Source organism: Homo sapiens, chromosome 16 (genome assembly GCF_000001405.40).
Source record: "Homo sapiens chromosome 16, GRCh38.p14 Primary Assembly".
NCBI lineage: Eukaryota > Metazoa > Chordata > Mammalia > Primates > Hominidae > Homo > Homo sapiens.
The window spans coordinates 87,204,091-87,227,301 of record NC_000016.10 but is presented as its reverse complement, the minus strand read 5'-3'; the positions used below and the strand labels follow the sequence as shown (position 1 = coordinate 87,227,301).

Here is a 23,211-nt window from a genome sequence, read left to right as displayed (position 1 = left end):
GGGAAGGATGGAATTTGGACTTTTCTTGGAAAGTCCACAAGAACTAAACCTGTTTAGAGAACATTTCCTGTTGGGAATGGCTAATGCCTGGAATATGTTACTGAAGGTCTCATTTTTTGGAGATTTTTATAAGGAAAATAACCTCACAGTTCTGGGGGGGGATGATCATATGCTGTTCTTGTGGGAGAGTTGACCTCATCTGTATAATCCAAGTTCCCCAACCTTTAACCACAGCAGGCATGGCTGATTGATCTCAGAACTTTGTCCCACTGACCTTAGATTTAGCCTCAGAGTCCTTCTTTTATTTATTTATTTATTTATTTATTTATTTATTTATTTAGACAGTGTCTTGCTGTGTTGCCCAGGCTGGAGTGCAGTGGTGCAATCTCGGCTCACTGTCAGCTCCGTCTCCTGGTTTCACGCCATTCTCCTGCCTCAGCCTCCCGAGTAGCTGGGACTACAAGCACCTGCCGCCATGCCCGACTAATTTTTTTTTGTATTTTTAGTATTTCACCGTGTTAGCCAGCATGGTCTCGATCTCCTGACCTCGTGATCCGCCCGCCTCGGCCTCCCAAAGTGCTGGGATTACAGGCATGAGCCACCGCGCCCGGCCTAGCCTCAGAGTCCTTCTTAACACAGTTCTCCACTTTTAATCCATCAAACTTAAGTGGAGACCTTTTTTGTCGTCTCTGGATTCCACTTTTGCTGTGTTCAAGGTTCCTTCCATGACCTTGTCCCTTGGGATGGTCTCTCTAGACCGTATTCTACCTGTCCTTGTCATTACACCAAAGGTAAGGATTTTTTTGGTTTTAATAGTATGTTATTAGCTTTAATTTATTATAGAATAAATAATTGGCTTCAAGGCATTGAATTTAATTTTTTGTAAAATAATGGTATTTTATTGGTTTTAATAATGGTTTGTGCGTTACCCACAGTTGCTCAGAACCTCAGGTCTATGCTGGAAGGACGTTTACGGAGGTCTCCTGTGTTCTTTAGTTTCAACTCCTTGTCACTGGCTTGCTTCCAGTTTCAGAGTTAACTATTAGAACCCTTATTCCTAGGTGGACCATCTCCTCCTGGGCTCTGATATGAGGCCAGTCTATTAAGAAATTTAACGAGAGGAGGCTTAGGATGCAGCTGAAAGCCACCAAGGCCTTTGTTATACACTAACTTTCCTTTGTGGGCTTAAAAATTACAGAAATATTGGAGTGTTGTCTCAGTAGCTCCAAGAATCACAGGGAAATTTAGGGAAACGGTTTATTTGTGTAATGCTTGTTCTTAGGTGTTCCATAGATGTGGGCATATTTTCAACCCAGGGATATGCATGGGTGAAGTGATACATTGCATGCATTTGAGTTTCTGTAAGCCAAACAAAAGTACAGGCCCTTGCTGTCTCTAAAACATACCATAATAAAATGATAAAGGGCAGCTGCCATCTACTGCACGAGAAACATGGAGTAGTGGAAGTATCTTTGGGATTGGACTTGGGGCGATCCAGGTTCAAATCCTGCCTCTACCATGGAGCAACTGTGTGGCTCTGAGAACGTTTACTTCTCTGAGCTTTGGTTTTCAAATTAGTGCAATGGAATGATGATATGGATTAAATGAGATAATAGCCACAAACATGCCTAGCATGGTGTAGATTATATCTTAATAAAGCTGTTACTTAAAAAAGGGTGATGGGGTCCTACTGAAAGGGAAAACATTAAATGGAAGAACACATTTTTCTTTATACATGGTGACCCTTCCGTTGGTGCGTTGAGTTGAGAAGGTGTTAAGATGCTTGGAGCATCTTAAGTTCTAGACTCTGTTGCTGTGAATGGTGAGCAGCTATTCTGTTTGTCATTTCTTTTAAAGGGAAGCAGATGTGGTTTTTGTCCAACGAGGGCCGCTGTCTTCATCTGCTGCATGTTTCAGGGACTATGACTTGGCTGCTGTCAGCTTTACCTATGAAGTTTACAAAATGGTTTTATTTTGGCTAAATTACCCACTTTGGTTAGGAACGATTGCTGTGAAGTTCAGACACATCAGAGTTGGAATTATCAGCTCTGCTTCTTAAAGGATGTGTGACTTTGGGCAAGGCTTCTTACCAGTCTGAGCCTCAGATTTCTTATCTGTGCAGTGGGCACAAGAGCACCTAGGACAGCGGGTTGCCTGGAAGATCAGTGGGATCATGTATATGCCCAACTGTATATAGGGAGGAAAATGTCAAAGGGTTTCATAAAGGGTTTTATATATTCTATCATGGTCATTATGTTTGCAGTATTTAAAAATACATGTGTAAAAGTTACAAAGTGCAGATGTCAAGTCATCTTATGCACCAGTAACCCAGCATTCCCCTGAATGGGCAGAGGGGATGTGACATTTGAATGAAGTTTTAATAAAATGAGTAAGAAAACTTGAATGGGAACCTCTGCGGAGAGCAGGGTCTTTTAGGAACTGATGAGCTGGGTTGAGACATCCTCCCCCTCCCCTGGGAAAGAAATGTCCAGCCTCTCTAATATGTCCATCCTCTCTAATGCTGCCTGGTGGCACTGAGGGGGAGAAAGAGGAAGAGGGTGTTTGAATGGACTGATGAGAGCAATAACTGACATTTGCCGAGCACTTTCTAGAAACACTGAATTGTGTTACCCTGCTGAATCCTGACAGTGACTATAGGAGGTGTGACTCCAGGGACCACACTCTTAGCCCCTTGCTCAACTGTCATTTTGTCATCTAGTTTTGCACAGACACTGTCCAAACTGCATGTGTTTTGACTTGGCTGAGGATGGAAGGTAGGGCCATTATGTATAATTATTCAGGTTGCGCACTGCACAACCTCAAGGGCTCCATTCTCATCACAGATATAGATAGAAATGCTTATTATGACACTTTTCTGGCAGATGGTAGTCAAATGACCTGTTCCAACAAAAAGTATGTTGTGGCCATTTTTCTGACAGATTGAAGAAGGAAAATCTTTCTTGAATTCACACCAAAGTTCTCTATGGGCTGGTTGTAGCACAATTATTGGATGGAATCACTGCCTGCTTCATCGGGAGGGAGGGAATTGTATTCTAATGGGGAAACTGGGGCCATAATGTTGTCTCTGTGTCTGGTAACAAAGTCCCTACAGTCCAGTACAGCCTTGCTATTATAACAGAGGCATTCCCAAGAGGCAGGAGAGCATAATGGTTAACAGCAGAGTGCAGAGATAGTTGGCTGGGGTTCAAAGTCTGGCTCTGCCACCTATTGCTGTGTGTCTTTGGGCAACTTGCTTAACCTCTCTGGGCCTCAGTGGCCACATCTGACATTGAATGACAATGACAGCACCCGCCTAACAGATCTGTGCTGAGTCTTAAATGAGTTACTGTATATAAATCAGTTAGAACAGTACCTGGCTTGCATTAGGTGTTAGCTGGTTTTTTTAAAGGTAGCCTAAGGGCTTTCTTACAGAAGTGTGGTTTTAAGAGCATGAGCCGGTCCTTGGAATTTTTGTGGATTGACTTTCACTCAATGGTATCTGATCATTTGTAAGTTCCTGCATTTCATGAAGAAGATGGGTTTACAACTGGGGCAACCATAAGGAAGAAGACCGAGATATTAACTCATGCAGCTTGTTCAAAACAGGACTGACTTAGTACATTTCAGGCTCCCTCCATCAGTGTCTAACGGCAACGACTGCACATTTTTACCTCCTAGCTTTTGCTGTAATTTTGTAGATGGAATTTCATAAAGGGTTTTATATATTTTATCGTGGTCATTAAGTTTGCAGTATTTAAAAATAGATGTGTGAAAGATACACAGTGCAGGCTATAAAACACCCTCAAACGACATTAAAATGGGAACGAATCCATTCATTTGGGTTTCTGCTGAGTTTATCTTGTATTATATATTTTTTAATATCCAAAGACCTGTAGAAATAGGTTATTGAGTAGGAAGTTGGCCAAGCCAGAGCTCTACACCATGTGGGCACTTGTGGGCACTGGCAAAGCCCTTGGAATTTGATCCTGATTGAAATGCAGTCATTTTCCACCTGCAAAAACAGTTTTCTCCAGCAAACCTGGGGTGGGGATGGGGTTTATGTACTCCCACCTTCTCCAGCATGGATCTTTCACTTTCCATTAGGCTCAATGTCCTCACATTGATGCTTATATGATGGACCTCTTAGAAAATATTGAATACATATTTGCATTTCTAAACTTAAAAGAAGTTTCCCCTGGTATTTGCCATCAGAACGCAATTAAATGAGCCATGTGAAATCAAACTCCAGGTCTCTGGGGTCTTGAACAACCCCTAGGATCTAGTAGGTCTTAACGAACTTTTGTGAAATGTATAGATGAATGTATTTGGGCCCACATGTGAAGAGGGTGGACTTTAAGGTGGCAGATCTGAAGTCATTTGGCAGATAACTCAGCATGACAGGCATAAGCCAGCACCTAAAGAGGACAGAGGGTGTGGGTGTGCACCAGTCCTGGTGTCAAACCCGCGATTTTCCAGCGGTGGTACCAGAGGTAGATCTTATAACCTCTGTGGGCCTCAGCTTCTCATCTACCAAATGGGAACAGTGATTCTACCTATGCCTATGAGGGTTTTTGTAAGAAATAAATAAGTGAATGTAGACAAAGTGCATAAGATTAAATGTGCATGGTAAGTGCTCAGTACATGTTAGTTGCTACTATTTCTAGAAATATGATGCTGATAGTGATAATGATGGTGAGGGTGATGATAATGGTGATGATGATGGTGATGATGATAATGGTGGTGATGATGGTTGTGGTGGTGGAGGTGGTGATGATGGCAGTGATGATGGTGAGGGTGATGATAATGGATCACGATGGTGGTGGTGGTGATGGTGATGGTGGTGGTGATGATGGTGGTGGTGGTGGTGATGGTGGTGGTGGTGATGGTGATGATGGTGGTGGTGATGATGATGGTGGTGGTGGTGATGGTGGTGGTGATGGTGATGATGGTGGTGGTGGTGATGGTGGTGGTGATGGTGATGATGGTGGTGGTAGTGGTGGTGATGATGATGGTCATGGTGGTGGTAATGGTGGTGGTAGTGGTGGTGGTGATAATGATGGTCGTGGTGGTGATGGTGATGGTGGTGGTGGTGGTGATGGTGGTGGTGGTGGTGGTGGTGATGGTGATGGTGATGGTGGTGGTGATGGTGATGGTGGTGGTGGTGATGATGGTGGTGGTGGTGGTGATGGTGGTGGTAATGGTGATGGTGGTGGTGGTGATGGTGGTTGTGGTGATGGTGATGGTGGTGGTGGTGATGGTAATGGTGGTGGTAGTGATGGTGATGAGGTGGTGGTGGTGATGGTGATGGTGGTGATGATGATGGATGATGGTGGATAATGGTGGTGGTAGTGATGGTGATGGTGGTGATGGTGATGGTGGTGATTATGATGATGATGATGGATGATGATGGTGGTGATGATGATGATGATAATGGATGGTGATAATGATGGCGAGGGTGATGATAATGGATGATGATGGTTGTGGTGGTGGTGATGGTGGTGATGATGATGGTGAGGGTGATAATGGATGATGATGGTGGTGGTGATGGCGATGGTGGTGGTGGTGGTGATGGTGATGGTGGTGATGATGATGGATGACGGTGGATAATGATGGTGGTGGTAGTGATGGTGATGATGATGGTGACAATGGTGATGATGATGGTGAAGATATATTATGGTAATGGTTATGATGATGGTTATGATGTTGGTGATAATAAGTGTTTCTTGATAGGCTGAAGACTTTGACAGAATATATTATTGCATTCTAGGAAGATGTGAAGGAATTCAGCCACTCCTGGATGTTTTCTCTGCTTACTGCTGAAATGCCACTATTGAGTCCTTTATTGGGACTCAGCCTCATAACCCTCAATCTCCAAATGTATTATTTTTTCCTTTATGATATTGTCTTTACCTCTTGTTTAAGAAATCTTTCTCAAAATTTATAAAGCTATTTCCTGTGTTTTCCTCCACATTTTTAATTTTTTTGCCTTTCATATTTAGTTATTTAATGTATCTGGAGTTTACTGTTTTTCTATGAGTTGAACTAGGAATTTAGTTTTTATTACTTTATAATGGAATTCCTACTTTGCCACACCTCCAAGTATCCTTTAGTGCTTTTTTGTTGATCTGAACAATTTCCAGATTGTTAGGGGTTTTTTTGTTTTATTTGTTTGTTTTTTTGAGACAGAGTCTCACTGTGTCACCTAGGCAGGAGTGCAATGGTGCAGTCATGGCTCACTGCAGCCTCGACCTCCCAGGCTTAGGTGATCCTCCCATCTCAGCTTCCCAAGTAGCTGGGATAACAGGTACTCATCACTATGCCTGACTAATTTTTTTTTTCTCTTTGTAGCGATGGGGTCTTGCTGTGTTACCAGGGCTGGTCTTGAACTCCTGGGCTCAAGAGATCCTCCCACCTCGGCCTCCCAAAATGCTGGGCCACCATGCCCACCCATGAGCCACCATGCCCAGCCCATTTGTGCTTTAAGACATTGACCATGTATCTCAGTATTGGAAAGACAGCTTGTATCTTGTACTCCGCTGTGTGACTTATTTGAGTAACTTTGCTTCTCTGAGCCTCAGTTTCCTCATCTGTAAATGGGGAGACTAATTGAGTCCTGTCTACCTTTCAGGAGTACACTGAGGGCCACATGACATAATATATGTGAAAGTGCTTTGCAAACTGCAAAGTGTTTTGGAGGCTTCTAAGTCATGTGCTGGTGACTTTTGGCGAACCTTCTCTCTATGAGATATGTGTGTTTCGGGCTAGTCATTAATCCCAAATGGCCAGAGGAAGGGGGCTTTGAGCTCCATGGGCTTTGAAATTCCTTCAAGAGTTCTGTGCACTTTGTAAGTTATAGGCTGGCTCATATTATGCAATGGTTGTGACTCGTATTTTTTTCTCATGGGCCTACGTGGAGACGGTGTGCAGAATCTCGAGTGATGTCACGTTGGGGGTTGCAGGAAAGATGTCTTACACACTCCAGAATCTAATCCTTCATTTCCATGTTGAATAATAGTGACAGTGTCTGCCATTCACTGAGTGCCCTTAATGTCCTAGTCACTGTATGTGTGTTAACTGCAAAGTAGCTACCATTATCCCTATTTTACAGATGAGGAACCTATGGCATGGAAATGTCAGTGTGAAGGGGCTTTCTCATGACCACAGAGCTTGGAAAAGGCAGAGTTAGGAGTGGGATTCATGTTCTGTGACCCCAAAGTCCATGTTCTGTTTAGGGTACCATGCTGGCTTATCTGGTTTTTGTTCTCTGCCAGCCAACTAACATCAGTAACCAACCAACTAATGAACAATGATCCACCCACCCAACCAACTACCCAACCAACCAATCAGCTCATCAACAACCAGCCACCAACAACAAGCCACCAACCACCAACCATGCATGTTAGCATCAGTCATGTGCTCAGCACTGAGCTTCGGGAGGGAGAGGACATTCTGTCCCGGTCCTCGAGGAACTATGGGTCTGTGCCCTATTGCACTGCATTCTAGAGGTGCGTTCAGCGTCCTCGGCTGGATCGTCGCTTCTTTGGGGTGGGAGTTACAACCTGGTGGCCTCTGTATTGTTAGTGCCCAGCACAGGGGCGTGTGGCCGTCTGGGACAGGAGTGGGTGTGGGGCTCAGTAAATATCACACACACACGCTCTCACACACTCACCCTCTCACACACACATGCACTGACTCACACTTACGCAGTCTTCACACATACACACACACCTGCACTCACACACATTTATGCATTCTTCACGTACACATATACTCACATTTACACATACACACATGCACTCATACACTCACACACGTGCACACAAATTCACACACATGCACTCACACTTATGCAGTCTTCACACATACACACACATGCACTCACACGAATTCACACACACATGCACAAACTCACATTCACACAGCACAATCTCACATTCACACACACACATGCAGTCACACAAACACACATATGCACTCATATGCACTCACATATTCTCACATACATATGCACTCACACACACTCAAAACACATTCAGCCTCTAAACATGTCTGCATGCATGCATTCGTCCAGAGTCACGCTCATACGCTTGCACACTCCCTGTCACACTTTCACACACACATTGATTCTCAATTTCACACCCTCACTCTCACACTCTCATACACACATTCATGCACGCTCTCACACATACTTTACCTCTGTCTCTCTCACACGGACACACATACACACCCTTCCTTGAGCATGAAACACAACACGTGACGCACTGTGGGAGGAAGGAAGGGGCCACACATCTTTCAGAGCCTTAATTGGACGTGCTCAGGAGTCAGATCCCTACTGGGTGTCAGATCTGCACTCTGACGGGGTCAGATCCGAGCTCAGGTCACATCTAAGCTTGGGGTCAGGTCCGAGCTCGGGGGTCAGGTCTGTGCTGGGGGTCAGATCCGCTTGGGGGTCAGGTCTGCGCCCGGGGGTGGGGCAGGTCTGTGACCTGGGGTCAGACTCTTGCTGGGGGGTCAGGTCTGCACCCTGGGGTCAGGTCCGTGCTGGGGGTCAGGTCCGTGCTGGGGGTCAGGTCTGTGCTGGGTGTCAGATCCGTGCTGGGGGTCAGGTCCGCGCCCTGGGGTCAGGTCTGTGCTGGGGGTCAGGTCCGTGCTGGGGGTCAGGTCTGTGCTGGGGGTCAGATCCGTGCTGGGGGTCAGGTCCGCGCCCTGGCGTCAGGTGCGTGCTGGGGGTTAGGTCCACACCTGGGGGTCAGGTCCGTGCTGGGGGTCAGGTCTGTCCTGGGGGTCAGGTCTGCGCCCTGGGGTCAGGTCCGTGCTGGGGGTCAGGTCCGTGCTGGGGGTCAGGTCCAAGCTCGGGGATCAGGTCCGTGCTGGGGGTCAGGTCCGTGCTGGGGGTCAGGTCCACGCCCTGGGGTCAGGTCCGTGCTGGGGGTCAGGTCCGAGCTCGGGGATCAGGTCCGTGCTGGGGGTCAGGTCCGCGCCCTGGGGTCAGGTCCATGCTGGGGGTCAGGTCCGTGCTGAGGGTCAGGTCTGTGCTGGGGGTGAGGTCCATGCTGGGGGTCAGGTCCGCGCCCTGGGGTCAGGTCCGTGCTGGGGGTCAGGTCCGTGCTGGGGGTCAGGTCCGTGCCCTGGGGTCAGGTCCGTGCTGGCGGTCAGGTCCGTGCTGGGGGTCAGGTCCGAGCTCGGGGATCAGGTACGTGCTGGGGGTCAGGTCCGCGCCCTGGGGTCAGGTCCGTGCTGGGGGTCAGGTCCGTGCTGGGGGTCAGGTCCGCGCCCTGGGGTCAGGTCCATGCTGGGGGTTAGGTCCACACCTGGGGGTCAGGTCCACACCTGGGGGTTAGGTCCACACCTGGGGGTCAGGTCCGTGCTGGGGGTCAGGTCCGTGCTGGGGGTCAGGTCTGCGCTGGGGGTCAGGTCCGCGCCCTGGGGTCAGGTCCGTGCTGGGGGTCAGGTCCGTGCTGGGGGTTAGGTCCACACCTGGGGGTCAGGTCCGTGCTGGGGGTCAGGTCCGTGTTGGGGGTCAGGTCCGTGTTGGGGATCAGGTCCGTGTTGGGGGTCAGGTCCGTGCTGGGGGTCAGGTCCGTGTTGGGGGTCAGGTCCGTGTTGGGTATCAGGTCCGTGTTGGGGGTCAGGTCCGTGCTGGGGGTCAGGTCCGTGCTAGGGGTCAGGTCCGTGCTGGGGGTCAGGTCCGTGTTGGGATCAGATCTGTGCTCTGGTCTGCGGTGGGATCCATGCTGGAGGGTCAGCTCCGCCTCAGGTGGTTGAGTGAAACGCAGGTGAGATGGTGCCTGCCTGGAGCCCTCCCCTTAGGGGAGCAGAGCAACCTCCCTAGGGCGGCCGCCTGGCTTGGGGAAGCTGTCAGGGGCTCTGCGCGGGTGGTGGGCTCGCCCTAGCGGAAGGAGCCCTGAATTGGGGTCAGGGGTCCGAGCTCAGCTGTGCCACTCACACCTTGGGTGGCCTGGGCCGGCCCCAGCCACCGGGATCGGCCCTCATTTTCTGCACACGGCCACTGAGGCCCAGGGCCCGAGCGCCCGCTCTCCAAAGCCCCTTCCTGGAAACTCTGGCGTTTCCCGTCTTTGCTGGCTGCTCATTAACAGGGCATTTTCATTTTCCAGTCCGCATTCCAGCTTCCTCCCGTGGGCCTCACCCCCTGGCAGGGAAGCGGGCGCTGCGCGGATTCTCCGAAAGGCCCCAGGAAAGGACGAGGGGCCGGCAGGCGCCTTAAATGCCAGCCCCTCAGTGGGCACCAGGGACACCGCGCCTGGGTTCCGGGACTCTCGGTCCCAGTCTGCTGGGAAACCGGGTGTTTTCTTACCCAAGCCTGAGTCACCGCCGGTGAAGTGGACGGGCGAAAAGTCTGGGGCTCAGGGCAGACCACACAGCGAGTGTGCGCAGCTCAGCCCCGGCCTGGACGGCCCCTCCCAAAGCCCCGCTGCGGGAGGGGCTGTGGGAGACCCACGTGTCTTTCTCCCGTTTCTGGGGCCCGTGTGAGCTCCCTGGGGGCTGACAGATGCCGCGAGGCTCTGCTTCTCAGCCTGGCCTGGGGTCCCGTCGTCGAGCCCGAGAGAGTGAGAGATCCGCCCGCCTGTCGTGCGTGGCCAGCGGAGCCAGAGTCGGCGAGGAGGACAGCCTGGCTGCAAGGTCCTGTGCCACATTCGGGGAGGCTGTTCCCCATCCAGCGCCGGCCCGGTTTCAATCAGCCTCCTTCATCCGCACAGGCCAAGAAAAAGCTATAAAGTCAGAAGCCGCGCTGGCATCTGCTATGCGCCAGAACAGAGCAGATATTGTCCCCGGCTTCCAGTTCTCGGCGGCCCTCATTCTTGTTGGCCACACAAATGGTTCTAATCAGTTTTCAGAGGCTCTCCGTGGTGTTTTAAGATGTTTGCTCGCTGCATTCTTGGGCAAATTACCCTCCAGTCTTGAACGTCACCTTTCCACCTCCTTCCCCAGCTGAAGCGAAAGGGAGGATGAGGTGTGAGTCAGACGAGTGTGTGTACACGCCCGTGTGCCATGCATGTCCTTGGTAGATTTCAACTTCTGTGAGCTGAGAGGCAAGTCGGAGGAGCTGTCACCCCTGCCCGGGGAGAGGGCATGAGGCCTCCTGATTATCTGTGGGACATCCATGTGGATGTCTCTGTCCTTGGAATTTGGGTGTGTGGCGCAGCACCTTCGAGACCGCACCTCACCTCCCAGGTGACCCTTACCTGTCTGTGTGGCCACATCCACTTTCTGGCCTTGTCCCCAAGGATTTGGGGCCACTCTAGTCTGAGCCTCCAGATTGGGGGTGATCATGGCTGTGTCAGCCACCTTCCTTCTGGTGAGGAAACAGGGCCTCAAGGGCTCTCTGACGTTTTCCTCCTGCTGCGGAGAGCTCAGAGGGTGGCTGTCAAACCCAAAGGCCTTTTCTGCTGAACTGTCAATGGAAAGATGAACCCGGTGGGAGGGATGCAGGTCTCCTTGTTACCAAGCAAAGTGGGATTTGTTGACCCAGCCGCAAACCAGAAGTCAGGCCCTAAGACGGAGGTTGAGCTCTCTCCTAACACCTGCAGAAAGGTATGGGTTGAAGAGTGAGGTTGTGTACACGTAAGAGTTATGGCCTGACGTGCTTTCATCAAACAATGGAAATAAGCCTAGAAAATCAATCACGATGGGGCAAGAGCAGCTGCTGCTGCCACACAGGGCCTGGGTGCCAGGCTCAGCATTAAAGACCTCCGTGTTCCTGATCTTCTTCTGGTCTTTAAGACATTTTTCTTTTCAGTTGGGAAAAGGAGTGATACACTGATTGCCTGTAGTGTGTTCAGTCAGGAGGGAACTGTGGGGTCTGGGAAGGTGCTGGCTTCTTCCCTTTTTTTTCCCTCTCTCCCTTCCTCTTCCCTCCTCTTTTTTTTCCCTCTTTCCTTCCCTCCTTTCTTCCTTCTTCCTTTCCGTCTCCATCGTCAACCCACAGCCCTGACTCAGAGAACTGAGGGTATCAGAGGTGGGTATGGGAGGATGTCTAACAAATGTACCCATGATCCACCCACCTTGAGACTGTATAACTGAGGGGAAAAAGGACAAAATTCTTCACCGTATCTGTCACAGGTTGGGCTCTCTGGGAATCGATTCTAAGACAGTTTGGGGTACAAGTTTTTCTTTGGATCAATACCCGTGAAAGGAAGGCAGAACAAACAGGATTGGGCAGAGGGAGAAGTCAGACTTTGACGTAATCTGATAGAACGCTGGCCAGTCTGGTGGGATGCCTGGAGCAAGGACTATCTGTCCATCAGAGCATCTGCCTTGGACGAAATGCCAAGGCGCTTACACTCCTGCCTTTTAGACATGAGATGTGACTGCCCCAGGAAGGGTGTGGCTTGGGCTAAGTGGCTCTCTGAAGCTGGCACAGGCCCCCAAAAGGGGCAGACGGCTAACTGACCACATTCCCTGCAGCTGAGGACCTCGGTGGTACACCTTCATGGCTGAACAATTTTATTCAGATCAACACATCCCATACTGTACCCTAGGACCTTGAGAGCTCTGTGAAGGTGATAAAGAAGGGCCCATGAATTGTTTTAAAATTCCAAAACCCGTCTTTATACTGACATAAAGCCATAACCAAGAGTTGTCTTTGCTTTGGGCTAGACGTGATGAGCATATGCTGGTAGCTTCAGGTTACACAGTGGAGATGTGTGCAGGGCGGAATCCCAGCTCAGACATTCTCCAGCTGAGGGAACCGGGGCAAGTCACTTAACCACTGCTTTGTAAAATGGAGTTGAAAACCGCACAAGCCCATCAGAGCTATGTGGATGAAACTGGAGTTAAATGAAATGATACATGGGAGGCGCTTGGTATAGATCCTAAATGCATGTCTTTCGTTATTGTTATTTCTGTTGCCATCACTGTTACTCCAGCTGGAACTACATTTCCCAGATTTTTGTGTCTGTGGATCCAGGTCAGTGGGGGCTACAGGAGACCCTTCTTTATGCCCCAAAGGTGGCTACAGGGAAAGTGTTGTTGCAGCTTACACACATTGTCACCGATCTTCTCTCTCACCTGGCTGGTGTGGGGTGGCACACCTGGCTGGTGTGGTTTGTGGCTTCTCCAGCAACCTGGATTTCCCACTTCAGGTTTCAGAATCTAGGAATGGGGTGAGAGCAGCTTCGTGATGAAAGGCACCAGCTTTTCATGTGGGAGACCTGGATCAGCAAAATGGGAGGCTGTGAGAAGCAGATGTGGGGCCAACTTGTCTCTGCTCTCCCTCATTTCACATCCATCCTCTCGACTGTCTGCCCTGCTGACTTCAGGCCCAGCACCAGCCACAGCCCACAGCCTTCCATGGAAGTCTTGGGAGTTTAACCAGCTCCCATGAATGAGTGACATTGAGTACCTATAACAAGTCCCTTGTTCTATATTTCTCAGTGCTTCCACTTCCGTGATTAAGCCCCGACACAACATCACCATCACCACAATAATCCTTATTAGCACCATCACCATCATCATCACCTCACCATCACTATCATCACCACATCACCATCAGCACCGTCATCATTTTCACTATCGCCATCATCACCTTCACCATCATCATCACCATCACCATCACTGACATCCTCGCCATCATTATCACCATCTTTACCATAATCCTTACTGTTATTGCTACCATCCTTATCATCAAATAAGTACTGCGTGCAGAACCAACTGCACCACTGGAGCCCATCCTTATCATCATTTACCATCATCACTGTCACCATTATCACCATCATCCTCCTTACCATCACCATTCCCCCATCCTTCTTCTCCTCACCATCATTAATGTCACCATCATCATCACCAACCCTACTATCATCATAATCATGATCATTTTCACCACCATCACCAAAATCATCATCGTTTTGCCATTGTCACACTATCACCACCACCACCATGATCCTCATCATAATGGGAAAGACAACATCTATGTACAGAAAGTAGAGCTATATCAAGGAAGGCAGTTCACTTTTACAAAGAGCCACCTGACAATTAGGACTAGCATTTGGTCATGAACTCTAACACCTTTCGTAGCCAGGCAGATAACATACCTGATTGGAATTTGGGGGTACATGGAAATGTGGAATGCTGAGACTATGACAAGCTGCCCGAGGATAATTAAATCCAAATTCTTACCAAACAAGGTGGTGGCCAAACAGAAGCCACCTGAGGGGTGAATCCAGCTGAAGTCCCCAGTTTGCACCCACTGGACTGGAGGGTCGTTTTCTTTAGTTTCAGTGATATTTCCATTCCTAGGTGAGGAGACAGAGAAAAACCATTTTTCAGGTAGTGGGAGGCCGCAGAATCTGGTGGGAAGATTGCAGTTTAGGAATCAGACAGATTTGGGTTTGAGTCCCAGGTCCAGGTTGCAATGTTGGCCACTTTGGTCACCTTTTCTGAGCAGCAGTACTGTCGTCTGAAATAAATAACAACAATAGTCCATCCCTCACTTCATTTGGCTGCCCTGAGATCAAAGGAGACAAGATCTGGAGAGCACTCACTCAGTGCCTAGCGCATAGGACATGCTCAATGAATACTAGCTGTTACCATAATTAGTTTTAGAGGATTCGTTTCTAGGATGACCTGAAGTCTCCCTACACTCTCCCTCTCCCTACTCATATAATATCACACACACATACATACACACACACTCTCTCACACTCACATACATACACATTCTCACAAATACACTCAAAGTAAGGTAGATTAATAATCCAATGTGCTGAGTCTATGGATTACTGAGTAAGCATACAATTTATCCACTATGTAAATTAATGAAACTGATGTCAAGAACAGTATTTCATGCTAAAAGTCCACACTTAATTCTTTCTTCTTCTACAACACACTCACACACATTCATTCACACTCCCCTTTCAATTCTGCAGCTCCTATGATCTGCCTAATCTCAGAAACAACCTTTTGATTGTGCATTCCTGGGGGAAATACTTTCTTTCCTCCTCCAGAAGAAAGATGCCTCATGATATCACTTCAGAAGAATGAACTCAAACCAAGGGCTCTCAGGGGACAAACTTTGACCCGGTGGTTTGCTGGCGCTGGCCTTTCTGAGTAAGGAGACCCACCCAGCATACCTTGCCCTCAGGCCACCCAGTCTTTCCTGCTTTCCTACAGGAAGGCTTTGGTTAAACATCCACAGTCGTGGGTGGGCTCCTTCCCATCGCGCTGCCCAACTGGGCAGTTCCTCCCCTTCATTGTGACTTCATTGCTGTAATGGAAGAACCAAGGAAGGGGATGTCTTCTCTCATCCAAGGCCGTGGTGGCCCAAGCCTCTCTCTTAGCGGCTGGGTAAGAAGCCCAGTTTCTTCAGTTCTACTTGGGTCTTCTGCAGGGGATAGGCTGAAGAGCACAACACCCTTGCTTGGTGTATGGCAAACAGTCGACAGGTAAATAGATGTTTTCCCTATTGAGCAGGCTTGTCCAAGCCATGAACATGCAGTGCTCAGCTGTTGATTGTGCTCTCTCAGCACTCATCTCTCCTGTTACTAGCACCTGAGTTTCCCTTCAAAGAATCATGTTCCCTCCACTTCCAGTCAACCTGGTTTGGGGTGGGCATGTGACCCAGTATCAGCCATGAGATCACTCCATCCTAGGCTGGGTGCGGTGGCTCACACCTGTAATCCTAGCATTTTAGGAAGCTAAGGCTGGAAGATCCCTTGAGGCCAGGAGTTCCAGAATACTCCACCCTTTCTGACCATTGCGATTGGTCCAGAGATGTTATTTATCCCAAATGACTCGACTGAGAGCCCTTGAGGAATCTTTTGCTGTAGCCCCAAGAAAGAGAAATTCTCTTTGTCCTGGGATTGCTGAACTGTGAGGATTTGAACTTGAGGATGCCAGAAGCTCCTTACCACCCCCAGGGAGAGCCTACTTAAAACAACACTGGCTCAGAGAAAACCATCAAGGGACAGAGAGAGACCAAGATTTGGAGACATTGTTTGAGCCTCTTAGTCTATGTTAATGGAAGCTAGACCTTCTAGTTAAGAGAAGCAGTTAATTTCCCCAATTGGCATAAATCAGCTATTTACAAACTAAAGGGTCTCAGTTAATACAGGTCACATATTGAGAGATGCTTATAAATATACATGAAATTGCTTAGTCAGATTTAAAACCAGAATCTTATTGCGAAAACAACAGTCATCATAGCTGGCATTCACTGAGGGCTTAGTGCCAAGAATTGTACAAAGCATTTTTAATACTTTTCCTGAATAAATCATTAAGGCCACCCTGTCCCATGCATATTGTCACCGTCTCTATAATCATCATCATCATCATCATCATCATCACTATTATGGACTGAATGTGCCCCCACCCCAAATTTGCATGTTGAAGCCCTAACGTCCAACGTGATGGCATTTGGAGATGGGGCCTTTGACAGGTAATTAAGTTTAGATGAGGTCATGAGGGTGGAGCCTCTATGATGGGTTTAATGTCAGTATAGGAAGAAACACTAGAGTGTACGTGTGCTGTCTCTCTCTCTCTCTCTCTCTGCACCTCCCTCCCCCCCGCCTCTCCTTCTCTCTCCCTCTCTCTTTTTCTTTCTCCTCGCCATGTGAAGACACAGGGAGATGTAGCCATCTACAAGTCAGGAAGATAGCCTTCACCAGAACCTAACCATGTTGGCACTGTGATCTTGAACTTCCCAGCCTCAAGAACTGTGAGAAATAAATTTCTGTTTTTTAAGCCACCCTGTCTATGGTATTTTGTTGTGACAGCCTGAGAAGACCGAAATAGTCACCATCATTGCCATCACCACCATCACCATCAGCACCATCATCATCACCATCACCACCATTATCACCATCACCACCACCACCACCATCACCATCATCCACATCACCATCACTAACATCACCACCATCATCACCATCATCACCATTATCATCACCATCACCACCATCACCATCACCATCATAATCACCATCACCACCATTATCACCATCACCATCATCACCATCATCATCATCACCATCACCATCACCATTATCACCATCACCATTATCACCATCACCATCATCACCAGCATCATCACCACCATCAGCATCACCATTATCACAATCACCACCATTACCATCATCACCATCATTAACATGACCACCATCACCACCATTACCATCATCACCATCATTAACATGGCCACCATCATCACCATCATCACCATTACCATCATCACTATTATCACCATCATCATCACCATCATCACCATTATCATCACCATCACTATCATCACCACCATTACTGATGCCACCATCATTACCATCACCATCACCACCATCACCATTGCCATCACCATTACCACCATCATCACCATCACTATCATCACCACCATCAGCACCATCACCATCACCACCATCATCATCACCATCACTATCATCACCACCATCATCACCATCAGTGACACCACCGTCATCACCATCACCATCATCACCATTGTCATCACCATCACCACCATCATCACCATCACCATGATCATACCGTCATCATCATCACCATCATCACTGTCACCACCATCACCATAATCACTATCATCATCTCCATGATGCAAGTTTTGCATATTTCTGCAAACATACATGTATTTTAATTCTCTGCTCCTTTGCTCAGGTGAACTCTCTTCACCTGGGAGGTGGTAGAAGGAGTGAGTATGAGCTGGGGCTCTGGGATTAGGTTGCCCAGGTTCATGTATGAGGTATTAACTGTAACTCCTGGACAAGTGGTTTAGCTTTCCCAAGACTTGTTCATACAATGGAAATGAAACCAGGCTTGCAGTACAGATATTGACTCACAATTTCTTTATTTTATTTTATTTTATTTTATCTTATTTTATTTTATTATACTTTCAGTTCTGGGGTACATGTGCAGAATGTGCAGGTTTGTTACATAGGCAGACATGTGCCACGGTGGTTTGCTGCACCCATAAACCCATCACCTACATTAGGTATTTCTCCTAATGCTATCCCTCCCCCAAGCCCCAACCCCCCGACAGGCCCCGGTGTGTGATGAGTCCTGCCCCGCGATGTCCATGTGTTCTCATTGTTCAGCTCCCACTTATGAGTGAGAACATGCAGTGCTTCCTTTTCTGTTCTTGTGTTAGTTTGCTGAGAATGATGATTTCCAGCTTCATCCATGTCCCTGCAAAGGACATGAACTCATCCTTTTTTATGGCTGCATAGTAGTCCATGGTATATAAGTGCCACATTTTCTTTATCCAGTCTATCACTGATGGGCATTTGGGTTGGTTCCAAGTCTTTGCTATTGTGAACAGTGCTGCAATAAACATACGTGTGCATATGTCTTTATGGATTTATAATCCTTTGGGTATATACCCAGTAATGGGATTGCTGGGTCAAATGGTATTTCTAGTTCTAGATCCTTGAGGAATCACCACACTGTCTTCCACAATGGTTGAACTAATTTACACTCCCACCAACAGTGTAAAAGCGTTCCTATTTCTCCACATCCTCTCCAGCATCTGTTGTTTCCTGACTTTTTAATGATCACCATTCTAACTGACAAAAAATGTCACATTTCTTTATATCCCTATAACAAAATTCAATCTGCTCTGAGCCTTTCACCTTGACTCACAGTTTCTAAGTCAGGTGTGCACAAATGTGTTTTTCCTTAATGGTAAATAATTAAACTGAACTCTTGAGGTTCCATTTTCACTCAGAGCTGTGAGACCAAATCTTTCTGTTCCAAGGACTTCAGTCATATCTGGTTGAAAATTCTGTGTCTTTTTTGGGTGGGGGTCAGTTTTTTTTCTGCACCCTTTCTCCTTCTCTTTTTGCTGGGGGATGTAAGTTCCTGCAGGGCTTATGCATCCTTCTAGCATGCAGGATGGGACCCCTGGTTTGTGTCTTTCTCTGTCCTTGTTGGTGTTTCCTAAATGTAATTGCTGAGGAGGTATTTTAAAAATTGAGGCGACATTCATATAAGTGTACAAAATTAGCCATTTTAAAGCACTCAATTTGGTGGATTTAGTACATTCACAGTGTCCCCCAGGACTTTGGTGACGCCCTTCCACATCAGGGTGGAGGAAGCAGTTGCTTCTGACTTAAGCGTCACTCTCTTTTCCTGACCTCTTGAGCAGTCACTAATTGGGGGTGGTACCACCCAAGGGCTGTTTGGAAATGCACAGGATGGTTTTGGTTGTCATAGTGACTGGAGGAGCTGCTGCATCTAGGCCCTGAGCCCAGGAGGGCAAACTGTCCTGCCACGAGTGTGGCAGCTCTGCAGGGTCAAGAACCATCTGGTGATGGCAGAGGTGCCTGGTAGAAACAATGTGGAATTTTATCTATAATGTCTGCCCTTTGCAGCAGACATCCACCCCTACCCCCACCACCGCAGGGTTCAACAGTGCCCTGGCCGAGAACTTGCAGTCTTCAGAAACAAAGCAGCCGCAAGACCTCTGGTCAGGCTCACGTTTCCCAGTCCCGTTAGAACTTCTCCTCTGCTGGCTTTTGCTGGCGTTTCTCCTCCATGCTGTTCAGATTCCTCAGGCTGTATAATTATTACCTCATTTGGAGGTTCAGGATCCAATTGTCTGAGCAAGAGAATTATAGTTATGCAACTTCCAGCCAATATGCGAATTTTCTCCAGTTTGCAAGGGGAGGAGCTCTCCCCTTTCCCCAGACATCAGCCAGTGCAGCAGAGTCATTTTACAATCTGCTGGGCCTGACTCCCATGGTTTGGGGGACATTTCTGTTCATCAGCACTGGGTTTAAGGTGAGGGCCGGGGGGCCGGGGAGCTGTGATGCTAATCACTCTCTTCTGCTTACTTTGTTTTGTTTGTTTTAAAAATGACAGGAACATTGACTTTCTTTTTGTTGTACATGTTAACACATGTGTAGATTTGTGCAGCCCTCATCACAGTCAGGACGCAAAGCGGTTTCATCACTCCAAAAACTCCCTCGGGCCATCCCTGTGAAGTTCCACCCTCCCCTCATCACTCACTCTTGGCGCCCACTAATCAGTTCTTCATCACAAGAATTTTGTCTCTTCCAGAATGCCTTATGAATGGAACCCTAAGGGTATGGAACCTTTTGAGCCTCACTTCTTCCACTCAGCGTAAGGCCTCTGATCCAGCCAGGTCATTGTGTGTAATTCACACTGATTCATCCTTCTTCTCTTTCTGAGTAATATTTCATTGTTTGGACGTACGACATTCTGTTTATCCATTCACCAGTTGAAGGACATTTGGGTTCCTTCCAGTGTGGGGTGATTTCGAATAAAGCTGCTACAAACATTTGTGTGCAGGTTTGTGTGTGAACATTTGTCTTTATTTCTCTTGGGTAAATACCTCGGAGCGAGATTGCCGGGTCCTATGGTAGGTATATATTTAACTTTAAAAAAAACTGCCAAACTTTTCTAATGTGGCTGCACCATTTTACACTGTGAGCAGCATATGACTGTTCCTGTTTCTTCCTTTCTTCACTGGCACTTGGCATTGTTGCATTTTTCGTTTTAACTGTTTTAGTGAGTGTGCGATGGGGTGTCATCATGGTCTTAATTTGCAATTCCCTGACGTCTAATGAGGGAGACTTCTTATGTTCTTACTCATCATCCATGTATCTTCCTTGATGAAGCAGCTGTTAAAGTCTCTTGTCCATTTTGAATTGGGTTATTTTTCTTCCTGTTGAGTTTTTAAAAACGTCTTTGCATATAATGGACATATAATGAACTGCACATATTTAGATCATACAGTTTGGTGCTTTGACATATGTAGTCACCTATGAAGCCATCACAGCCGTTCAGACAGTGAACATGCCATCACCTCCAAAGTGTCCTGGTGCCCTTTTGTCTTCTCTCTCACTCTCCCCCCCACCTCCTTCCTGGGCAACTTTTTTTTTTTTTTTTTTTTTTTTTGAGTCAGAGTCTTGCTCTGTCACCCAGGCTAGAGTGCAGCGGTGCAAGCTCGGCTCACTGCAACCTCCGCTTCCCGGGCTCAAGTGATTCTCCTGCCTCAGCCTCCTGAGTAGCTGGGACTACAGGTGCCCGCCACCATGCCTGGCTAATTTTTGTATTTTTAATAGAGACGGGGTTTCACCGTGTTGGCCAGGCTGGTCTTGAACTCTTGAGCTCAGGCAGTCCTCCCGTCTCAGCCTCCCAAAGTGTTGGGATTACAGGTGTGAGCCACTGCACCTGGCCTAAACTTCTTTTCTTTATAAATTACCCAGTCTCACATATTTCTTTCATAGCAATGCAAGAATGGACTAGCACAGTAGTATTCCCTTATTACCCCTTTAGTGTCTGAGGGTCTCATTGAATACTTTCTTGAATTTCTAATACTGATAATATATGCTTCTATTTTTCCTTGCCACTCTTGCTAGAATTTTATTAATTATTTTGAGTCAGCTTTTTGTTTCATTGATTTTTCTCTATTATTTTTCTCTTTTCAATCTCATCGGTTTCTGCTTTTCTTATTGATTTCCTTTGGCTCGACTGGCTGATTTTGCTCTGCTATTTATAATTTCTGCTATTTATAATTTCTGAAGGTGGAAGCTCAGATGATCAGGCTAAGTCCTTTCTTCTTTTCTAATGTAAGCATTTGATGATATAAATTTGTCTGCCAGCACTTGCTTTAGCTGAATTCCACAAATTTTATATCTTGTAGTTTCACCCTCATTCAATTAAAAATATTTTCTAACTTCCCTCCAGAGTTTCTGTTTGACCCATGAATAATTTAGAAGTGTTTTGTTTAGTTTCCAAGGTTTTGGAAATTTTTTTGTTATTTTTCTGTAACTGACTTCTGTTTTAATTTCATTATTATCAGAGACCATACTTTGTATTATTACAACTGTAATTCTCTTAAATTACTTTAATTTTTTTTAATTAGTTGAGGTTTTGTGTTATGAACTAGAAAAACAGCTTTGTAATTTTGTTTGTTTGTTTGTTTGTTTTTTAGAGATAAGGTCTTGCTCTGTTGCCCAGGCTGGAGTGCAGTGGTGCGATCATAGCTCACTGCAGCCTCAATCTCCTGGGCTTAAGCTACCCTCCTGCTTCAGCCCCCTGAGTAGCTGGGACCACAAGCAAGCACTACCACACCTGGCTAACTTTTAAATTTTTTGTAGAGACAGGATCTCACTATATTGCCCAGGCTGGTCTCAAACTCCTGGCCTCAAGTGATCCTCCTGCCTTGGCCTCCTAAAGTACTGAGATTAGGCTGGGTGTGGTAATTCACACCTGTAATCCTGAGGCCCCTATCTCTACAAAACATTTAAAAACTAGCCAAATGTGTTGGTGTGTGCTTGTAGTCCCAGCTACTTGGGAGGCTGAGGCAGGATGATTGCTTCAGCCCAGAGGTCGAGGCTGCAGTGAGCCGAGATTGCGCCACTGCACTCCAGCCTGAGTGACAGAACAAGACCTTATCGCCTTTGTCTCAAAAGAAAAAAAGTATTGGAATTACAGGTGTGGGCTACCATGCCCAGCCTTTGTGAATGTTCTATGTGTACTCAAAGAGAAGGTTTTTCTTTTTCTTCCTTTTTTGCTGTTGTTGGTGTGGTGTAAATGTAAATGACATCCAGTTGCTTGATGGGGCCATTCTGTTCATTTTTATCTTTGCTGACTTCCTATTTGTTCTCTGAATTACCTAGAGAATAAGATTGAAGTCTCCAACTATAATTGATCATTTGTCTGTTTCTTCTTTTGGTCCTATCAATTTTTGCTTCATTATTTTCCTGTTACATTGTTTTTCTTTGGCTGCTTTCAGGATTGTTTCTTGGTCTTTGCTTTCAGCATTTTGACTCTGATGTGTCTAGGCATGGGTTTCTTTGAGTATACCCTTTTATGGGATTCACTGAACTTTTTGAATTTGGAGGTTTTGCTTTTTGACAAATTCGAGACATTTCTTTCCTCTGATGTTTTTCTACCCTGCATTCTCTTTTTTCTCCATCTAGAATTCCTGTGATGTGGACGTCAGGCGTCTGGTACAGGTGCTTCAGTCTCTGTTCATTTGTTTTTTTTCTGGTTTTAAAATTTTGCTTCTTTTTCCCTTTGTTATTCAGGTTGGACGATTTCTATTAATTTATCCTCACATTTAATGACTCATTGCTCTGTTATCTTGATTTTGTTATTGAGCCCATCTGGTGACTTTTAAAATTTTGATTATCATATTGTTTAGTTCTAACAGTTCAGTTTGGTTTTTCTGTATATCTTCTCTTTCTTTACTTACACTTTCTATCTTTCCATTTGCTTTACCAG

The 23,211-nt window shown here is 46.8% G+C and overlaps 1 long non-coding RNA gene across 1 annotated transcript; it reads right to left on the bottom strand.

The window, feature by feature from the left end:
• Nucleotides 1-871: 871 nt before the first annotated feature.
• Nucleotides 872-15,187, bottom strand: LOC101928708 (uncharacterized). The gene is made up of 3 exons (NR_110939.1): nucleotides 15,090-15,187; nucleotides 14,137-14,416; nucleotides 872-1,947 (listed from the first exon to the last, which is right to left on the bottom strand). It is a non-coding gene; the product is annotated as an uncharacterized LOC101928708 (long non-coding RNA).
• Between the last annotated feature and the right edge of the window lie 8,024 nt (nucleotides 15,188-23,211).